The 22,715-nt window shown below is 37.9% G+C and overlaps 2 annotated features.

Annotated features, from left to right (window-relative positions):
- Window positions 20,864-21,427: an enhancer, noted in NCBI's record as "OCT4-NANOG-H3K27ac-H3K4me1 hESC enhancer chr1:69204935-69205498 (GRCh37/hg19 assembly coordinates)". NCBI's record gives its function as "activates a minimal SCP1, AML or CMV promoter by ChIP-STARR-seq in naive H9 embryonic stem cells {active_cell/tissue: H9 hESC(naive)}" and the evidence as "EXISTENCE:reporter gene assay evidence [ECO:0000049][PMID:30033119]".
- Window positions 21,428-21,991: an enhancer, noted in NCBI's record as "OCT4-NANOG-H3K27ac-H3K4me1 hESC enhancer chr1:69205499-69206062 (GRCh37/hg19 assembly coordinates)". NCBI's record gives its function as "activates a minimal SCP1, AML or CMV promoter by ChIP-STARR-seq in primed H9 embryonic stem cells {active_cell/tissue: H9 hESC(primed)}" and the evidence as "EXISTENCE:reporter gene assay evidence [ECO:0000049][PMID:30033119]".

The raw sequence follows: 22,715 nt of genomic DNA on the forward strand, positions 1-22,715 counted from the left end.
AGGGTCAATTTCTCTATATTACCCTTGAGTTGGTTGCAAAAGCAAGATTACAGTTACTCTGAAGCTCCAAGGTGTGGTGAATTACTTTACTACTATTTCGCCCACCCAGATTATTCAGTTATGATCAACTAATTGCAAAATGATAAATAAGAGTCATACATTTTTGTTCGTTTGTTTTTGTTTTTGTTTTATTTTACTTTAAGTTCCGGGATACATGTGCAAAACGTGCAGGTTTGTTACATAGGTATACGTGTGCCATGTTGGTTTGCTGCACCTATTGACCTGTCCCCAAAGTTCCCTCCCCTCATCCTTCACCCCACAGCAGGCACTGGTGTGTGATGTTCCCTTCCCTGTGTCCATGTGTTCTCATTGTTCAACTCCCACTTATGAGTAAGAACATGAGGTGTTTGGTTTTCTGTTCCTGTGTTAGTTTGTTGAGGATGATGGCTTCCAACTTCATCCGTCTCCCTGCAAAGGACATGATTCCTTTTTATGGCTTCGTAGTATTTCATGGTGTATATATACCACATTTTCTTTATCCCTTCTATCACTGGTGGGCATTTGGGTTGGTTCCATGACTTTGCTATTGTAAATAGTGTTGCAATAACATACGAGTGCTTGTGTCTTTATAGTACAATGATTTATATTCCTTTGGGTATATACCCAGTGATGGAATTGCTGGGTTGAATGGTATTTCTAGTTCTAGATCCTGAGGAATTGCCATGCTGTCTTCCAAAATGGTTGAACTTTTGCATTCCCACCAACAGTGTAAAAGTGTTTCTATCTCTCCACAGCCTCATCAGCATCTATTTATAGATTCAGTGCTATTCCCATCAAAATACCATTGACATTCTTCACAGAATTAGAAAAAAAACTACTTTAAATTTCATATAGAATCAAAGAAAACCCTTTATAGCCAAGACAATTCTAAGCAAAAAGAACAAGGCTGGAGGCATCACACTATCTGATTTTAAACTATATATAAGGCTATAGTAAACAAAACAGCATGGTACTGCTACCAAAACAGAGGCGTAGACTAATGGGACAGAACAGAGAACTCGGAAATAACACCACACATCTATAACCATCTGATCTTTGACAAACCCGATAAAAACAAGCAATGAGGAAAGGATCTCCTGTTCATTAAACAGTGCTGGGAAAACTGGCTAGCCATATGCAGAAGCTGAAACTGGACCCTTTCTTTACACCTTATACAAAAGTTAACTCAAGATGGATTGAGGACCTAAATGTAAAACGCCAAACCATAAAAACCCTAGAAGAAAACGTAGGCAATACCATTCAGGACATAGGCATGGGGAAAGACTTCATGACTAAAACACCAAAAACAATTGCAACAAAAGCCAAAATTGACAAATGTGATCTAATTAAACTAAAGAGCTTCTGCACAGCAAAAGAAACTAGCATCAGAGTAAACAGGCAACTTATAGAATGGGAGAAAATTTTCACAACCTACCCATCTGACAAATGTCTAATATCCAGAATTTACAAGGCACTTAAACAAATTCACAAGAAAAAACAAATCACCCCATCAAAAAGTGGACAAAGGATATGAACAGGCACTTCTCAAAAGAAGGTATTTGCATGGCCAACAAACATATGAAAAAGCTCAACATCACTGATCATTAGAGAAATGAAAAATCAAAACCACAATGAGATACCATCTCATGCCCATCAGAATGGCGATTATTAAAATGTCAAGAAACAACAGAGTCATACTTATTATTTCTATTTGCAGAAATTGGGTCCTGGAGTGGATAATAAGTAGCCCAAGATCATACAGCTGGTAAGTGGTAGAGCTGAGAATTGTGCTCAGAACCATTGGTACCAAGACAGAAGTGTGATAATACTGACATGGCCCAGGGATTTTAAGCCTCATGCTTGAGTTATTTGATTGGATTCATTTTTGTTCTTTTGTTCTACTGCTTATATCCAAGTCATTTCTTTCTCTTTCTTTCTCTCTTGCATTGTTAATAAGGCTCTCTTCCTCTCTTTCCTCAATTATAATGTACATTTCATGAGCATGGGAAGTTTTGTCTGTTTCATTTCCTATTGAACATCCAGAACAAAGAGTTTTGTGTGGCACACAGTAGGAACTAAATACATTAATAAACTTGTTGAATAGATTAATGTAGCCATTTTTGGGGGGGTCTAGAGCTGCAATGTCAAATGGTGAAAGCTTTGAATTTTAAGAAATACCTAATGTTGATAGATGACTGCATGGTTGGCCTCATTCTTGTCTGTATCAAGACCTTTTGTCACGTGACCTTGCAGTTCCTCCCACTAATGGAGAGAAAATTATTTTCCCACCTTTTCACTTTAGGTTGAGCCACATGCTTTGTTTTGGTTAATAGAATGAGAAAGAAACAACATGGAATCACCTTGGACCTTAGATCTCAAGAGGCTTTGCATGATTTCTTCTTTCTGTTTTGTGCCTTCACTATGAGCAGTAGATGGATTGGACAGCCTGATACTCCAAGGAAGATGAAAGGCACAGGGAACAGGCAAGGACTACTTGCTGTCAGTGTGGAGCAGAGCGACCCCATGAGCCCAGCTCCACCAACTGAGCTCCAGCCAATACACAGACATTTAAGCAACAATAAACACATGTTGTTTTAAGCCACAGACTTTTGAGATATTTTGTTATGAAGTATTTTCACAGAAATTGTTAACCAATATACCTAATTTACTGCTGATAATGCATTTAAGAATGTATATAAAATATTCTGTGATATCATATAAGTATACCACTGTCTGCATATAGTGATATGCCATCTGAGTTAACACATTCTGATGTAGGTAAAGCCATAAAAATTAAACATAGATATAGTTAGATATATTTGAGCAATGCCAATGCATTTGGTACTGCTAAATTAAATGTTGCTGGAGGGTGAAGTTGTGGGGAAAACAAACAAATCTGATCTGCCCTCACTTGAAATTATTTAATGTATTATGGTTATTATAATACAGTATCACTTGAATGCTTATTCATGCAGAAGATGAGTAGGATAAGGAGGTAGCATAAATGCCAGTATATAATGATTTCTTTTTACTTCAGAAAATTAGATGATAAACATTGTGTACTCTTATAAAGTATGATGGAATTTTCCAATAATTTTCAAGAAAAAATATTTTAAAGATTTTCTAAAAATATATTTGATAAGAAAAGTATGCATAGATAAATTTCAGAGGCTCTTCTATTTCACCTGATAACTACTTGGAGTGAGCGTCACTATTCTTGGTAGCAGAGAGGAACAGATACTTCAAGAAAGGTATGATCAGCAAAAGACAGCAATTTCCAGATGACTTCCTCAGGTCTTGTAAGAAATGAGATCTGGAATCCTGCAATGGAGAATGCCTTCCACATAGCCATGCCAACCAGTTAAGTGATAGAACGTGATTCTGCAAAACAACAAACTTCTTTGTTGTGACTTACATGAAACAAGTAAGATGATCACCACGTGTAGTACCTAGGAAGTTCTCAAGTATATAGGCTGGTAAAATTTTTTTTTTTTTCAAGCTGCATTGATCTTCTGGTTTTATTCTTTCTTAAACTCCTTTCAACCTTTTCTTAGCTAAAGTGGAGTTAGCTAGATTACTCATTACTGTTTATTAATGTGATATTTTGCATAAGAGTGCATGTGAAAACTTCTGCCAGCAGTGTCTAAGACTTACTGCATTTTTGTAGATGCAGATGTGAAATGTACTTGAGCTCTTTCATATTAGCTTACTTTGTCACCCTATTAAGCAAGTTTATTTAATTTAGCTTAGGGGTTGGGGCTCCAAATTAGGATTTAAACACTTATGTCCTCAAAGACATGGAATCTTTTACAAGGTCTTTTAAATAAATATGACTATGATTTATAATTCTTGATATGCATTTTACCACATATTACCATTATTCAAGTATATTTAATTACCCTTTTTATTTTATAAAATTCAATGAAAACCTTATGATCTATTGTGCCTGACAGGATCATTATTTGTCCCAGAACCTCTTGCCCACAAATTCAAATTTAATATAATTCTTATATAATATTCTTTTTCTTCCCCTCCTGCTCCCAGCCTCTTAAGCTAAATGATATGCCAAGTGATGTTTTTAGCACATTAGAAAAATAGAAGGCACAGTGGTATAAAGGAATGAGCACAGGCTCTGCATTTATACAGACTTGCCCTAGATTTGTTATGTGACTTTGGACCCATGTAATCCCTCTATACCTCAGTTTCTACATTTGGAAAATAGTGGAATATCAAATTACATAAACATTACCCAGCATTAACTGCTTGTATATAGTAAGTGCTCAGTTAATATTAGATTCCTGGTCATTGGCACTGGGATCCTAAGGAAGCCAACTAACTAATTATACTCCCCTCTCCACGTTCTGAAAAAAATGATAAATAGATACTTTCATCACTGTGAAAGGAATATAAACTTTGGGGCCCCCTAAATCAGGAAGCTAAAGGGAAAAGTTAAGCTGGGAACTGCTTAGAGCAAACCTGCCTCCCACTCTATTCAAAGTCACCCCTCTGCTCACTGAGATAAGTGCATATCTGATTGCCTCATTTGGAGAGGCCAATCAGAAACTTGAAAGATGCAACCAAATTCTCCTAACTACCTATGACCTGGAAGCCCCCTCCCCACTTCAAGTTGTCCCGCCTTCACCTTGAGTTGTCCCGTTTCTGGACTGAACCAAAGTACATGTTACACATTTTGATTGATGTCTCATGTCTCCCTAAAATGTGTGAAACCAAGCTGTACTACTACCACCTTGGCCACATGTCGTCAGGACCTCCTGAGGCTGTGTCACAAGTGTGCATCCTTGACCTTGGCAAAACAAACTTTTTAAATTAACTGAGAACTGTCTCATATTTGGGGGGTTTGCATCACTTAGGGTCAAATCATCCACCGATTCCCACTAAAATTTAATGGAGAATCTAATTTACATCTGAGGTTCAAATGGGCTCTCAGTAATCTTCATAGGATTTTATGGTAGGTTACTAACCTACATTGTTACAAGGTAGAGACTTCGATGTTTTCCTTTAAGAACAGAGCCTGCTTAGCCTGAGTAACCTTTCACCCTCGAGGAAGTAAGAATGTGTACTTCCTAGGGGCAAGCTCTCTCCAAAGAGAGCCAAAAAAGGGGTAGAGCTATGTGCACTCATACTTCTTCTTTAACAATCTCTTTAGTTAAATAATTCATGATTTCTTCCTATGGAAAAAGTAAGAGAGGTGGTGTAGGGAATAACAGAGGCTTTTTCTCAATACTTCCTATTTTGCAGGATACAAAGGAATTTGGATACAGGAAGGAAATTGTTCCCTTCTATAATATACAACCCCATGTATTAATATATTAATAAATGTACTAAAACGATAAACAGAGCTTACAGGCAGACATGATGAAATCCTCTAATTCTTTGCTACCTACTGAAACTTTTGGCTATGACTCAAGCCTGGCACATAATAAAGAGGTGGTAGAAACCATTGTGTCATGCTGCCTTTTGCTTTCAAGCTGATACTTACTTATCAAATTTTCCCTGATAATCATTGTCATCATGGTACTGTACCTTCAGTAATGTTGTAGGCATAGTCATGCTTAGTGTTCAGGGGCAAAGCAGACAGCACAGGTGTCTAAAAATATTGAGTGCTAGTATATGGTGCAAGGTGAGGAGACTGTGGTTTCAGGGACACATAGCAAGGCCAGTCCAGCAGGCAGAGTGGCATTCTGAAGGTATAGCAGTGGTGAGCCCTCCAGTACTGCCTCTCCAATGCACCGTCACAGCCTCCTGTACTTTCCTCATTTATTCATTCATTCACCTTGTATGTGCCAGACATTATTCTAGGTTTGGGGAATGGATCAGTGAACTACCTAAACAATAACAAAGTCTCTGCCCTTATAGTGTTACCTCTCTGTCTTACAACTCTCCACTAGTTGTTAAGCTCATTTAGGGTAGAAATTGTGTTTCACTCATTGGTGAATCTCTACTGCTAGCACTGTGCCTAGGACTGCACTCAATACATGTTAAATTAAGGTTGAACTCACTAATATTGATTAATGATATGTTCTGACACATGGACAAAGCAAGTAAAAGGGATTCAAGTGGCGTTCTCTTTACATGTGAACCATGATATCTATGGTTTCCTATTGTATTTATTTGTTTCATGTTGTCAAAATGTGAATAACATTGAGATATCCAAGGAGGGAGGTAGGTAATTGACATTTAAAAAAGTCTGTCAAGGCTGGGCACGGTGGCTCACGCCTGTAATTCCAGCACTTTGGGCGGCCAAGGTGGGTGGATCATGAGGTCAGGAGTTCAAGACCAGCCTGGCCAACATGATGAAACCCCATCTCTACTAAAAATACAAAAATTAGCTGGGCATGGTGGCACATGCCTGTAATCCCAGCCACTTGGGAGGCACAGGCAGAATTGCTTGAACCTGGGAGGCGGAGGTTGCAGTGAGCTGAGATGGTGCCACTGAACTCCAGCCTGGGGGACAGGGCAATACTCTGTCTCAAAAAAAAAAAAAATTCTGTCAATAGGAGTGAATCTATTTATACACGGCACAAACTGGGGGACATGTCCATCTGCCCATAAATGGATACACACAGGTTTAGAATGGCATAATAGAGGAGGAGGCTCTTGAATTAAATCTTGCAAGCTAAGAAAATATTTCTAAAATTAAACACAAAATAAAAGACAATCATTTTATGTTAGCACTAGATGGCAGGGGAAGGCAGAGACCCACCACACTGCCTTCTTTAGATGGAGATCTCTGGGTAACTTAGAGAGGCACAGACTATGTCTGTGTGTTTGGGGTTCTTTGTGTATGTGGTTGACTTTTGTTTGATTTAGTCTTCAGAAAAAGGTGATCATAGTTTCTTTTGCTGATATATATATCTGTTACCCCCTAATGGCATCCCTGAAGTTACAGTAATACCTATGTCAAAGAGAAGGCATTTGAGACAGAGGGGAAAATCAGCAGACCTTGCTAACCAGATCCCTTCCTTCCCCCACCCCTGAGAATGGATGTTTCCTGGCAATGGAGAAACTGGGCATCGTGCCACCATGGAGGTGCCTGGACTGTTTGTAACAAACAGTTTCATTAGATTACCCACAATTTCTCGAGAGGTAATTCCATTAGACAGTGTTTATCAGTCATCATATGCTCTGCTTGTCATGACTCCCCTGTTCAGTAGCAGTAACACCCCCAGAACAATACTGTGTGTGTGTGTGTGTGTGTGTGTGTGTGTGTGTAAAAACAAAACTGTCTGGGATGCCTTACAGAAGAGGTATCTTCTGTGTAGTAATGAACATAAAATAGAAAGAGACTGAGTAGGCAGCATTAAAATGTAGGTACCCCACAAATAAACATATTATTGTGCTTTTAATTCAGGAATGAGATCTGCAGCAATAACCAGAAAGCACCTGAAAACATCAGACGTGGATTATTTAGGCTGTTTAGGTGACCTAAATTATGCAGTATCTTGTAAGTCTTCTGAGGGAAATTTTTTTTTATACTATTTGATTATTTTCTCTGGAATGATTAATTTCCTGGTACACTGGAATATTTATTTCTCCTGCTTTCTTTCCCTCTATCCTTGGCTCACATCTACAGGTATAAGGCTCATGTGGAACAAACCTATCACGTGCTCTCAGACTTGAGTGGACAATGTTTCTCTGTCTGATGTTTCTGGTCAAGATTTTGGAAGAGGTCTGTGCCCTCTAGTTCATACCTCCTATATATTATCTTTTAAAAATTTTCTTCTTTATATATGTAACTCTTTCTTCCTAATGTCACTCATCACTAGACTATATTTTTGTATGATTTAAATCTAATAACAATTTTTTCTTTTACATCTTTACTTAAATCATAGCTACTTTATTATCTTTTTCTCTATTTAGAGATATGAGTTCCTTAAAAATCATAATAATTAAAGATTCCTTTCTAGCGGTTAATTTTTAAGCATGTTAGGGTTTCAAGAGATGGGGGCATCTTGGTCACTTTTTGTTGTTGGTATTAAAAGCTTTTAGTGATATGAACCACCTTATCAAAACAATTTCCTATTACTAACATTCACTTATCCTCAGGTCTAGCTATTCTATTTTACTACCTACTATTCCCAGTCTCCTAGTTGCTTTTTACTGCTTCAACTTTTCCTTATGCTGGTCCTTCCTCCTGCAATAACCTTCCCCTTTTCTCTACAAAATCCAAAACTTTTCATCGTTTAGGACATCTCAGATTTTCATCTGTCCAAAACCTTGTTTGATCTATTCCTCTGAAAGCTCACAGAATTTAATCTGTACCTTACTGATAGGATTGATCAGTAATCTATTACCTACCATAAGCTACTTGAGGGTGGAACCAGTGCCAGATTTAACTTGGTATTTTTTCACAATGCTTAATGTTTAGTAGGTCCACAACAATCAATGTCACTTTTGTACGATTATTTCATCAACCTATCCCCTTTAAAAATATCTCATGAATTCTTCAGTCTTTGAGTGTTCTCTGTATATTACGCTATAAGCATCATATTCCTGGCTCATCTTGTTGGTAAAACAGTGTATTTTTTTTTAATATCCCCATTTAAACTGACTAGGGCCTGCCCTCAGTTTCCTAAATTTCTATTAAAAAGGGAAACTCGCTTATGCTATTCCCTTCTTCCAAAAATTTGCCCTTCCTCTTACCCATTATCTGCCTGCTTTTGTTCATTCTCCAGTGCCTCCAGGAAGTTTTTTGGAAAACTTTTATTTCAGGTTCAAGGTTACATGTGAAGGTTAGTTACATAGGTAAATTCATTTCGTGGGGGTTTGTTGCACAGATTATTTAATCATGCGAGAATTAATCCCAGTACCTAATAGTTATTTTTTTGCTCCTCTCCCTCCTCCCATCTCCAGGCCCTCCCACAAACCCCAATGTGTTGCTCCCCACTATGTGTCCTTGTGTTCTCATCATTTAGCTCTCACATATATCTGAGAACATGTGGTATTTGGTTTTCTGTTTCTGCGTTAGTTTGCTGAGGATAATAGCCTCCAGCTCCATCCATGTTCCCACAAAAGGCATGATCTCATTCCTTTTTATGGATACTGAAATTATATTTTGCCCAGAATTTATAGTTGTTATTGGCAGGAGGTTTGGTTTGTTAGGATCTATTCGGCTATTTCCAGAAGCTGAAACCCATCACATTATTTTTTAAAGCAATCACTACTTCATTGTTCCTTATATTAGGTGTAACTACTTTGAGACAAACAATATTTATGCAATTAAGTAAGTCCTGATACTTTATAAAATCTATATTGCTCTTTTATGGCCAGCTGCCTTTAATATTAATACACATAATGGATTGTTAATTTCAATTGAGATTTGCCAGATTTTTGACTTTCTTTTAGGGTCTATAGAAAATGTCCTAAATGACTTTGGCTCAATTCTTCTGTAATGTACAACAGATAAAATTAATAAATTCTGTAATATAATCTTTCATTATCATCTCTGTCATTTTTGGCCTAAATTGTCCTTTACCAATAGACCGCACCCAAATTTATTTCATCTTTTGTTCTAACATACCTTCTACTTTTCTAATGTAAGCATTTAAGTCTACAAATTTCTAAGTAACATATTATTTGCATTTCATAAATTTCAATATCATATCTTCATTTTTGTCTAATTCTTGTACATTTACAATTTATTTATAATTTCTTAATTCATAAGCTACTTAAAAGTGTGATTTTGAATTCCAACATAGAATTTAAGAATTTTAAAATTAACTTTTAAGATATTTGTGATGTATGAGCAAACAGTTTGTATGATGCAAATTCTTTGATACTTGCTTTATGCCACAATTTTTATAAATATTCAGGTGCACTGAGAAATACGTGTATTCTTTAATCACGTAAATAAGAACTTATGTCCAATAATTCAAACTTATTGTGTTTTTCAAATATTCAGTATCTTCACTATTTTTTGGTTGTTTATTCAATTGAGAGAGTTGTATTGGAACTTTCCATTTTAATGATGGATTTGTCCATTCTTCCTTCATCAAAATTTATTTGCATAATTTGAGATTTATTATATGAATTGGGTTAATGTTATCATATCTTCTTAGAGAATTGAACCATCTACTTTTATGTAGTAATTTGTTCAACTCATAAAAGCATTTTTAAAATCTTTTTTGTCTGTTAATATTATATTATTGTGCTTTTTGTTTAGAGTTGTCTGGTGTCTTTTTCCATGTTTACATTTTCAATTATTTTTGTTCTTATGTTCTTGGTACTTCTCTTAAACAGCATAAAGTGTTTTTTTTTTTTAATTTAAATTCTGCAGTCTGGTTCTTTTATATGACATCTGTAGTTCATTTGTATTTATTATGAGTATTCACTTATTTTAATTTATTCCCAGCATCTTTCTTTTTATTTTCTGGCCTTTGTTTTTTTACCATTGATTGAGTTTTGTTGTGATTATTGTTTGTTTTTCTGTCCTTTTTTTCTCCATTCTACTAGTGTGAAAATTATACAGCCTATTACTGCTTTTTCGTGGTTAACCTTAAAATGTTTCTGTGCATGCTTTACTTAACAAACTCAGGAGTTAGTACTTTAGCTCCTCCCCCAAGTAATCCAAGGGCCTTAAAACACTTTATTACTATCCCGATATATATGTTATTTTGCGTTTGAGATTTATTTACAAGCTTATAAATTATTTGCTTATCATGCTTTCTTAGATCTTAAAAGTTCTTCCTGGGATAATTTCCTTTTCTAGTAAAATACATATGTTAGATATCCTTTAACATAAGAATGTTGCATAAAAATACTTTAAAAAATCATGTGCTGTATTTATTTGTCCCTTATTCTTAAAAATTATGATTTTCTGGGTGCAAAAGTAGGACTTGATAGCCATTTTCCCTCAGCAATTTGAATATATTGTTATTTTTAGTTTCTATTGTTGGTATTAAGAAGCATGGTATCAGCCTATTTGTCTTTTCTTTCTAGGTAAACTGTCTTTTATTTCTCACTCTTTTTATATCTTCTCTATGTTTTCATTTTCATTTTCTGCAGTTTCAGTACAATTTGTTTTGTTTTGTTTTGTTGTTTTTGAGACAGAGTCTCACTCTGTCGCCCAGGCTGGAGTGCAGTGGCGCTATCTCGGCTCACTGCAAGCTCTGCCTCCCGGGTTCACGTCATTCTCCTGCCTCAGCCTCCCAAGTAGCTGGGACTACAGGCGCCCGCCACCATGCCCGGCTAATTTTTTGTATTTTTAGTAGAGACAGGGTTTCACCGTGTCAGCCAGGATGGTCTCGATCTCCTGACCTCATGATCTGCCTGCCTCGGCCTCCCAAAGTGCTGGAATTACAGGCGGGAGCCACCACGCCTGGCCAGTACAATATTTTTAGATGTGGATTTCCTTTTATTTATTCATCATAGTAAGTGGGGTTCATGTATCATTAATTCATGCCCTTTGTCAGTTCTAGAAAGCCATAAGCCATTAAAGCCACACATTGTGTCTTTATTTTCTCTATTCTTTCCTTCTAGACCTGCAGTTAGCTTCATGTTAGACCTTTTCATTCTGTCTTCCATATATCTTAATCTCTCTTTATTAGCTTCCATACCCTATTTTGCATTTTTCAGTTCAATTGCTTCTAACTATCTCTTCAGCTGTAGATAATGTGCTTTTCAACCCCAACCATTACACTTTAAAAAAATAATGATTATATACTGTTGATATGGTTTGGATCTGTGTTCCTACCCAAATCTCATGTTGAATTGTAATCCCCAGTGTTGGAGGTGGGGCCTGGTGGGAGATGATTGGCTCATAGAGGTGGTGTTCTCATGAATGGGTTAGCACCATCCCCTAGGTGCTGTTCTTGTGATAGTGAGTTATCCTGAGATCTGGTTGTTTAAAAGTGTGTAGCACCTCTCCCCTCACTTCCTTGCTCCTGCCCACACCACGTGAGACGTCTTGCTATCGCTTCACCTTCTGCCATGATTGTTAATTTTCTGAGGCCTCCCCAGGAGCCAAGCAGAAGCCACTATGCTTCCTATACAGCCTGCAGAACCAGGAACTGAATTAAACCTGTTTTCTTTATAAATTGCCTAGTCTCAGTTATTTCATTATAGCAATAAGAGAACAGACTAATACAATTGTTCTAGCTATTAATTTTTAAATCTACCTAATTATGTGGGATAATCCCTATTGCATACTCATCATTTTTAGTCCATTGTTTATTTTTAAAAATATATCATACATACTTATTAAACATTATATGCCTAAGATCTACATTTGACGATCGCTGTGTTATTAGCTATTACCCTTCTATAATGTTTTCATATGTACTTGCTATTCTTTGATTTTGAGTCCAGTCTTAGTTGATTTTAATCTGTGCTAAACAATAGGAGCTAAAATTAATTATTGCTTCATTTAGAGATTTAATGTTTGCTTCATTTAACAACAACAGGAATCTTCTGTCTTTGAACTTCTTTGATCCTTTCCATTGATTTTCCTGATGACTCAGATTCAGCTCCAACAACTTGCTGCTATCTCAAAGATTAGTCTTTCAATAACTGGCAGTTGCACTGATGACCACTTTGCATTATGCATATATTTAACACTTATGACTGTTACTTTAATATTTTTGATACTGTTTTTGCTTGGGAATTTCCTTTATCTTCTGCAAACCTGTAATGTATAAAAATTATAGTTAGTGGAAGACTTGTTATTTTGTAGTGGGAGAGCCCTTCAGAGTATTTAGTCCACCACACTGACCTAGCCTCTTACTCTTTTTTCATATTTTTTATTTCTTATGTTATTTTTTACATATAGAATACATACTTACTTTATTGTCTAAATTTGATATTTTCAAGTTACAATTTTTTCTGTTCTGATTTTGTTGTCTTTTGTTTTTGGTGGCTCACCCTCATAGTATCTTATTTCTTGACAGTTAGATGATTTTAGACTATAGTAATATTTCTTAAAACACTTTATTCCTAATAATTCTTTGAGATCTGTGAAGGAAGTATGTTCCTCAAAGAAGATTTGTGTTTGCTTATTTCAGGCACCTGAAGACACTACAAATATGAGCTCACTTATAATTAAATTCTTAGCTTAAGATTTTTCACATTATCCATATTGTGATATCAGCCTATAAAGACCAGTTTGAGGTCTCAAATTATCAAGAGAAATTTTTATCCCCATCTACTCAGTGCAAAAGTTCAAGGGAATCAGTTTTCCTTTTAAGACCCTGAGGGTAATCTCTAGTTTTCCTTTCCCTGGAAACCCTAGTTTACATGAGAATCCCTGATTAAATGACGTGGCCTTCTATTACATTATAGATTGACCCCAAGCCTTGTCTTCCAATGTCTGTGTCCATGAAAAACAAAGTTCATGGACAAAGCTCAGGTTCTGTGGCTCAGCTTAGCTGATTTCACTTTGCTTTTGGTTATTTCTGAGTTTTCCTACTTTCTAGTTCACTGATACATGACAAATTTTAAAACGTATTTCTTCAGCATTTTTAGTTCTTTACAGTGGGAGTGTCCATTAGGGTATCCAGTTGCCAGACTTCCAGAAACAGAAGTCAACCTATTCATTCAGAAAATTAGATATTTTTCCTAAATAGATTGAGCCAATATATTTAGTTTAATTTTCCTACTTGGTTGGCCAAGCAGTTAAAAAGTATCCAATCCATTTTCAACTGACAATAGGGCAAATGCTAAATAAATAAATAATTATGTGGACTCAGTTTTGATTATCTTAAAACAATGTAGAGCTATCATTACATGTGACAAGATTTGGAGTCTGCTTTGCAAAGCTTATTTCATAAATAAAAATGACATTGTGTAAGAGGCAAGCTTAAAGTGTCAAGTCATTAAAATATGAGGACATAGGGAGAAGGCTATGTAACTTTCAGAGTTTTTTGTACACTTGAACTTGGTGTTTAACAATCATAGGGGTTGAGGACATTGTTCTTTGCTGAAGTTGTGGGAAGGATGAATTGTGTACACACAGATATAGCGTATGTGTGTGCATGTGTGTGTTCATTATGTATATATAGTGTGTAGCATTTTATTCTTCTTAAAGATCAATTTGTTGGGGTTCTATTATGTGAAGTTTTGGCACTATGAAGGGTGAATCCATAGTGGTCCTGCTCAAGAGATACTGACACATTTTTTAGGAAACATAAGATATACGCTCTTCCCCAAGTTCCCACCTTCACACCTGCAGTATCCTTACCCACGTGCTCAACCTTCTCATTTTCCCACAGATGAACTGTCTATCCTCCACCCAGAGGTTGACACTTCTGCCAACTGTCTACTCACACTCTCTTTTTAAGAACATTTCCCTATAAGTTCTCTGTTGTTTCTCCTGCATCATCAGTTTTTCTTCTTTAACTGGTTCATTCTAATTAGTTGGCATAAATGCTGTTATTTTTGTCCCCATTTTTCTCTATACCCCATTTTTTAGATCCCTATTAGCTAGTCTCACTTTTCAGATCCCTATTCACAGGAATACTTCTTAAAAGAGTTCTCTAAGCTTTCTGTCTGCAATTTTCCTCCTCCTACTCTCTCTGAAGTTCATTTCATTGAAATTTCTGCACCCATCATTTCAACAAAATTACCCTCTTAAGGTAAAAGATCATCTCCATGTTGCAGAACCAATGATTGGTTTTCAGCCTTCTTACTTAAGTAGTCTTAAGCAATTGAACAGTAATTAATTCCCTCCATCTTGAAGCATTTTCTCCACTTTGCTTCTAATGCAACACACTGTCCATTTCTTCTGTAGCATCAACTGCTTTTGCTGGTTCCTTTGCTGGTCTCTCTTTGGAATGTCCTAAGTTTCAGCCCTTCCTTCCTTCACATATCCTTAGGGATCTCACTGAATATCATATATTTAAATATCATCCAGATGCTGATGACTCCCAAATTTAAAGCTACAATCTTGTCTTCTCATCTCAACCCCAGACTGCTTTATCTAACTGCTGCCACAACTTCTCCACTAGATGTTTACTTGTCATAGTTAGCTTGGCATGCCTCATACTACTCTTGCTTGTTAAACCCCTTCCAACCAAGTCTTCTCAAACTGAGTAAATTACAATTCCATTCTTAGTGACCTTGTTTTTCTAGTTGTTTAGAGGGAACAAATAAAGCCAACTTGGAGTCATTAAACTTCTCTCTTTTCCTCACAAGATACATCTACCATATCACAAAATCATGTTTTAAAATGTGTCTAGTTTTTACCATCTCTTTTACTACCACCCAGATCCAAGCTACCATCAATTTCTCACCTGCATTGTTGCAATAATATTTTACGTGGTCTTCCTACCTGTACCTAAAATCCATTCTCTCAACACAGAGCCAAGATGATTTGTCTAAACATAAGTCAGATCATGGCACTTCTGTGCTCTGAACCCTCCAATGGCTTACCATTTCACTCAGAGAAAAAGAAAAATGAAGTCCTCACAGCAGTCTATAAGGCTTTGCATGATTTTTCTTCCATTAGCTCCCTAACTTCATCCCCTCTCTCCTCCATGTGCATCTTTTCTAGCCTTACTGGCTTCTTTGCTTCATAGAGCACACAGAATCTTCCTTCAATTCCTAGTCTCTGTACTTGCTGCTTTATCTTTCCAGGACATAGTTCCACAGATCTCCCCTGTTATTAACTCCCTTGCCTTTAGGTCTTTGTTCAAAGTGTTCTTTTTTTTTTTTTTTTTTTTTTTTAATTTTTTTTTTTTTTATTATACTCTAAGTTTTAGGGTACATGTGCACATTGTGCAGGTTAGTTACATATGTATACATGTGCCATGCTGGTGCGCTGCACCCACTAACGTGTCATCTAGCATTAGGTATATCTCCCAATGCTATCCCTCCCCCCTCCCCCGACCCCACCACAGTCCCCAGAGTGTGATATTCCCCTTCCTGTGTCCATGTGATCTCATTGTTCAATTCCCACCTATGAGTGAGAATATGCGGTGTTTCGTTTTTTGTTCTTGCCATAGTTTACTGAGAATGATGGTTTCCAATTTCATCCATGTCCCTACAAAGGACATGAACTCATCATTTTTTATGGCTGCATAGTATTCCATGGTGTATATGTGCCACATTTTCTTAATCCAGTCTATCATTGTTGGACATTTGGGTTGGTTCCAAGTCTTTGCTATTGTGAATAGTGCCGCAATAAACATACGTGTGCATGTGTCTTTATAGCAGCATGATTTATATTCCTTTGGGTATATACCCAGTAATGGGATGGCTGGGTCAAATAGTATTTCTAGTTCTAGATCCCTGAGGAATCGCCACACTGACTTCCACAATGGTTGAACTAGTTTACAGTCCCACCAACAGTGTAAAAGTGTTCCTATTTCTCCACATCCTCTCCAGCACCTGTTGTTCCCTGACTTTTTAATGATTGCCATTCTAACTGGTGTGAGATGATATCTCATAGTGGTTTTGATTTGCATTTCTCTGATGGCCAGTGATGATGAGCATTTCTTCATGTGTTTTTTGGCTGCATAAATGTCTTCTTTTGAGAAGTGTCTGTTCATGTCCTTCGCCCACTTTTTGATGGGGTTGTTTTTTTCTTGTAAATTTGTTTGAGTTCATTGTAGATTCTGGATATTAGCCCTTTGTCAGATGAGTAGGTTGCGAAAATTTTCTCCCATGTTGTAGGTTGCCTGTTCACTCTGATGGTAGTTTCTTTTGCTGTGCAGAAGCTCTTTAGTTTAATTAGATCCCATTTGTCAATTTTGGCTTTTGTTGCCATTGCTTTTGGTGTTTTGGACATGAAGTCCTTGCCCACGCCTATGTCCTGAATGGTAATGCCTAGGTTTTCTTCTAGGGTTTTTATGGTTTTAGGTCTAACGTTTAAATCTTTAATCCATCTTGAATTGATTTTTGTATAAGGTGTAAGGAAGGGATCCAGTTTCAGCTTTCTACATATGGCTAGCCAGTTTTCCCAGCACCATTTGTTAAATAGGGAATCCTTTCCCCATTGCTTGTTTTTCTCAGGTTTGTCAAAGATCAGATAGTTGTAGATATGCGGCATTATTTCTGAGGGCTCTGTTCTGTTCCATTGATCTATATCTCTGTTTTGGTACCAGTACCATGCTGTTTTGGTTACTGTAGCCTTGTAGTATAGTTTGAAGTCAGGTAGTGTGATGCCTCCAGCTTTGTTCTTTTGGCTTAGGATTGACTTGGCGATGCGGGCTCTTTTTTGGTTCCATATGAACTTTAAAGTAGTTTTTTCCAATTCTGTGAAGAAAGTCATTGGTAGCTTGATGGGGATGGCATTGAATCTGTAAATTACCTTGGGCAGTATGGCCATTTTCACGATATTGATTCTTCCTACCCATGAGCATGGAATGTTCTTCCATTTGTTTGTGTCCTCTTTTATTTCCTTGAGCAGTGGTTTGTAGTTCTCCTTGAAGAGGTCCTTCACATCCCTTGTAAGTTGGATTCCTAGGTATTTTATTCTCTTTGAAGCAATTGTGAATGGGAGTTCACTCATGATTTGGCTCTCTGTTTGTCTGTTGTTGGTGTATAAGAATGCTTGTGATTTTTGTACATTGATTTTGTATCCTGAGACTTTGCTGAAGTTGCTTATCAGCTTAAGGAGATTTTGGGCTGAGACGATGGGGTTTTCTAGATAAACAATCATGTCGTCTGCAAACAGGGACAATTTGACTTCCTCTTTTCCTAATTGAATACCCTTTATTTCCTTCTCCTGCCTGATTGCCCTGGCCAGAACTTCCAACACTATGTTGAATAGGAGCGGTGAGAGAGGGCATCCCTGTCTTGTGCCAGTTTTCAAAGGGAATGCTTCCAGTTTTTGCCCATTCAGTATGATATTGGCTGTGGGTTTGTCATAGATAGCTCTTATTATTTTGAAATACGTCCCATCAATACCTAATTTATTGAGAGTTTTTAGCATGAAGGGTTGTTGAATTTTGTCAAAGGCTTTTTCTGCATCTATTGAGATAATCATGTGGTTTTTGTCTTTGGCTCTGTTTATATGCTGGATTACATTTATTGATTTGCGTATATTGAACCAGCCTTGCATCCCAGGGATGAAGCCCACTTGATCATGGTGGATAAGCTTTTGGATGTGCTGCTGGATTCGGTTTGCCAGTATTTTATTGAGGATTTTTGCATCAATGTTCATCAAGGATATTGGTCTAAAATTCTCTTTTTTGGTTGTGTCTCTGCCCGGCTTTGGTATCAGAATGATGCTGTTCTCATAAAATGAGTTAGGGAGGATTCCCTCTTTTTCTATTGATTGGAATAGTTTCAGAAGGAATGGTACCAGTTCCTCCTTGTACCTCTGGTAGAATTCGGCTGTGAATCCATCTGGTCCTGGACTCTTTTTGGTTGGTAAACTATTGATTATTGCCACAATTTCAGAGCCTGTTATTGGTCTATTCAGAGATTCAACTTCTTCCTGGTTTAGTCTTGGGAGAGTGTATGTGTCTAGGAATTTATCCATTTCTTCTAGATTTTCTAGCTTATTTGCGTAGAGGTGTTTGTAGTATTCTCTGATGGTAGTTTGTATTTCTGTGGGATCAGTGGTGATATCCCCTTTATCATTTTTTATTGTGTCTATTTGATTCTTCTCTCTTTTTTTCTTTATTAGTCTTGCTAGCGGTCTATCAATTTCGTTGATCCTTTCAAAAAACCAGCTCCTGGATTCATTGATTTTTTGAAGGGTTTTTTGTGTCTCTATTTCCTTCAGTTCTGCTCTGATTTTAGTTATTTCTTGCCTTCTGCTAGCTTTTGCATGTGTTTGCTCTTGCTTTTCTAGTTCTTTTAATTGTGATGTTAGGGTGTCAATTTTGGATCTTTCCTGCTTTCTCTTGTGGGCATTTAGTGCTATAAATTTCCCTCTACACACTGCTTTGAATGCGTCCCAGAGATTCTGGTATGTGGTGTCTTTGTTCTCGTTGGTTTCAAAGAACATCTTTATTTCTGCCTTCATTTCGTCATGTACGCAGTAGTCATTCAGGAGCAGGTTGTTCAGTTTCCATGTAGTTGAGCGGCTTTGAGTGAGATTCTTAATCCTGAGTTCTAGTTTGATTGCACTGTGGTCTGAGAGATAGTTTGTTATAATTTCTGTTCTTTTACATTTGCTGAGGAGAGCTTTACTTCCAACTATGTGGTCAATTTTGGAATAGGTGTGGTGTGGTGCTGAAAAAAATGTATATTCTGTTGATTTGGGGTGGAGAGTTCTGTAGATGTCTATTAGGTCTGCTTGGTGCAGAGCTGAGTTCAATTCCTGGGTATCCTTGTTGACTTTCTGTCTCATTGATCTGTCTAATGTTGACAGTGGGGTGTTAAAGTCTCCCATTATTAATGTGTGGGAGTCTAAGTCTCTTTGTAGGTCACTCAGGACTTGCTTTATGAATCTCGGTGCTCCTGTATTGGGTGCATAAATATTTAGGATAGTTAGCTCCTCTTGTTGAATTGATCCCTTTACCATTCTGTAATGGCCTTCTTTGTCTCTTTTGATCTTTGTTGGTTTAAAGTCTGTTTTATCAGAGACTAGGATTGCAACCCCTGCCTTTTTTTGTTTTCCATTCGCTTGGTAGATCTTCCTCCATCCTTTTATTTTGAGCCTATGTGTGTCTCTGCACGTGAGATGGGTTTCCTGAATACAGCACACTGATGGGTCTTGACTCTTTATCCAACTTGCCAGTCTGTGTCTTTTAATTGGAGAATTTAGTCCATTTATATTTAAAGTTAGTATTGTTATGTGTGAATTTGATCCTGTCATTATGATGTTAGCTGGTGATTTTGCCCATTAGTTGATGCAGTTTCTTCCTAGTCTCGATGGTCTTTACATTTTGGCATGATTTTGCAGCGGCTGGTACCGGTTGTTCCTTTCCATGTTTAGCGCTTCCTTCAGGAGCTCTTTTAGGGCAGGCCTGGTGGTGACAAAATCTCTCAGCATTCGCTTGTCTATAAAGTATTTTATTTCTCCTTCACTTATGAAGCTTAGTTTGGCTGGATATGAAATTCTGGGTTGAAAATTCTTTTCTTTAAGAATGTTGAATATTGGCCCCCACTCTCTTCTGGCTTGTAGGGTTTCTGCCGAGAGATCTGCTGTTAGTCTGATGGGCTTTCCTTTGAGGGTAACCCGACCTTTCTCTCTGGCTGCCCTTAACATTTTTTCCTTCATTTCAACTTTGGTGAATCTGACAATTATGTGTCTTGGAGTTGCTCTTCTCGAGGAGTATCTTTGTGGCGTTCTCTGTATTTCCTGAATCTGAATGTTGGCCTGCCTTGCTAGATTGGGGAAGTTCTCCTGGATAATATCCTGCAGAGTGTTTTCCAACTTGGTTCCATTCTCCACATCACTTTCAGGTACACCAATCAGACGTAGATTTGGTCTTTTCACATAGTCCCATATTTCTTGGAGGCTTTGCTCATTTCTTTTTATTCTTTTTTCTCTAAACTTCCCTTCTCGCTTCATTTCATTCATTTCATCTTCCATTGCTGATACCCTTTCTTCCAGTTGATCGCATCGGCTCCTGAGGCTTCTGCATTCTTCACGTAGTTCTCGAGCCTTGGTTTTCAGCTCCATCAGCTCCTTTAAGCACTTCTCTGTATTGGTTATTCTAGTTATACATTCTTCTAAATTTTTTTCAAAGTTTTCAACTTCTTTGCCTTTGGTTTGAATGTCCTCCCGTAGCTCAGAGTAATTTGATCGTCTGAAGCCTTCTTCTCTCAGCTCGTCAAAATCATTCTCCATCCAGCTTTGTTCTGTTGCTGGTGAGGAACTGCGTTCCTTTGGAGGAGGAGAGGGGCTCTGCGTTTTAGAGTTTCCAGTTTTTCTGTTCTGTTTTTTCCCCATCTTTGTGGTTTTATCTACTTTTGGTCTTTGATGATGGTGATGTACAGATGGGTTTTCAGTGTAGATGTCCTTTCTGGTTGTTAGTTTTCCTTCTAACAGACAGGACCCTCAGCTGCAGGTCTGTTGGAATACCCTGCCGTGTGAGGTGTCAGTGTGCCCCTGCTGGGGGGTGCCTCCCAGTTAGGCTGCTCGGGGGTCAGGGGTCAGGGACCCACTTGAGGAGGCAGTCTGCCCGTTCTCAGATCTCCAGCTGCGTGCTGGGAGAACCACTGCTCTCTTCAAAGCTGTCAGACAGGGACACTTAAGTCTGCAGACGTTACTGCTGTCTTTTTGTTTGTCTGTGCCCTGCCCCCAGAGGTGGAGCCTACAGAGGCAGGCAGGCCTCCTTGAGCTGTGGTGGGCTCCACCCAGTTCGAGCTTCCCGGCTGCTTTGTTTACCTAAGCAAGCCTACGCAATGGCGGGCGCCCCTCCCCCAGCCTCGTTGCCGCCTTGCAGTTTGATCTCAGACTGCTGTGCTAGCAATCAGCGAGATTCTGTGGGCGTAGGACCCTCTGAGCCAGGTGTGGGATATAGTCTCGTGGTGCGCCGTTTCTTAAGCCGGTCTGAAAAGCGCAATATTCGGGTGGGAGTGACCCGATTTTCCAGGTGCGTCGGTCACCCCTTTCTTTGACTCGGAAAGGGAACTCCCTGACCCCTTGCGCTTCCCAGGTGAGGCAATGCCTCGCCCTGCTTCGGCTCGCGCATGGTGCGCACACACACTGGCCTGTGCCCACTGTCTGGCACTCCCTAGTGAGATGAACCCGGTACCTCAGATGGAAATGCAGAAATCACCCGTCTTCTGCGTCGCTCAGGCTGGGAGCTGTAGACCGGAGCTGTTCCTATTCGGCCATCTTGGCTCCTCCCCCAAAGTGTTCTTTCTTAATGAGGTATTCTTTAGTTGTCCTATTTAAAACAGTGACCCATACTCTCTTTCCCTCTTCCTGAACTCATTTATCTCCTTAGAATTATATTTTCTATAATTTACTAATTTATTTTGTATATTGGCCATCTCTTGTCACCAAAATATAGGCTTTGTGAGAGCACGGATTTTTATCTGTTTTGCTCACTACTGGATCTTTAATACATAGACCAATCTATGGCATATAGAAATCACTCTAGAAGTATTTGTTGAGTAAATGAATAAATGGTCCTCAAATTCCCACTGACTCTTCAATCTGATATCCCTTTCATTCAGCACTCTCCAATGTCCACTTAGCTTATAACTTAGGCTTTTTTACATAAATTTTAGTTAGAATAATACTGACAAATCTTTCTTATCTCAGGTTACTTCCTCTAAGTAGTTTTCCCTGTCCCTCCAATCTAAATTAGGGAAGTCTGTTATTCTATAGAACCCTGTTTTTTCCTTCATAGCACTTGTGCATAAGACATCTCTATTTCTTTAGTTTCCATAAGCTTAGGCTCTCTGGCTTGTGTTATAAACTCTATGCTTTATGTTGACCAGAGTATGTCTCTTCATATTTAAAGGAAGCTTTTAGAATTCAATAACATTTCTCTTTCTCAAGAGCCTGGCTAAAAAAGCTATCACTTTTAAGACTTTATGTCTCTTTCAGACATTTCAATTGACTTTTTCATTTGATCTATATCTGTTTTGTCCTTGTGTAAACTATATAGAAAATTATGAATGGTGGGAAAAAATAATGGCAATAAGGAAGATAATTATCTTGCTACACAAAGAACGTGTGAGATATGCCAGGGACAACATTAGGTGACAGCACCAACAAGGAGTGAGGGTGATCTACTGGGACATCAACTCTAAAAGAAGATGAAATTTTGAGAGGGTGAGATTAGCATTGAGGAGCTAGGAGAATAATC

The sequence above is a fragment of the Homo sapiens genome, chromosome 1 (assembly GCF_000001405.40).
Source record: "Homo sapiens chromosome 1, GRCh38.p14 Primary Assembly".
In the NCBI taxonomy this organism is placed as follows: domain Eukaryota; kingdom Metazoa; phylum Chordata; class Mammalia; order Primates; family Hominidae; genus Homo; species Homo sapiens.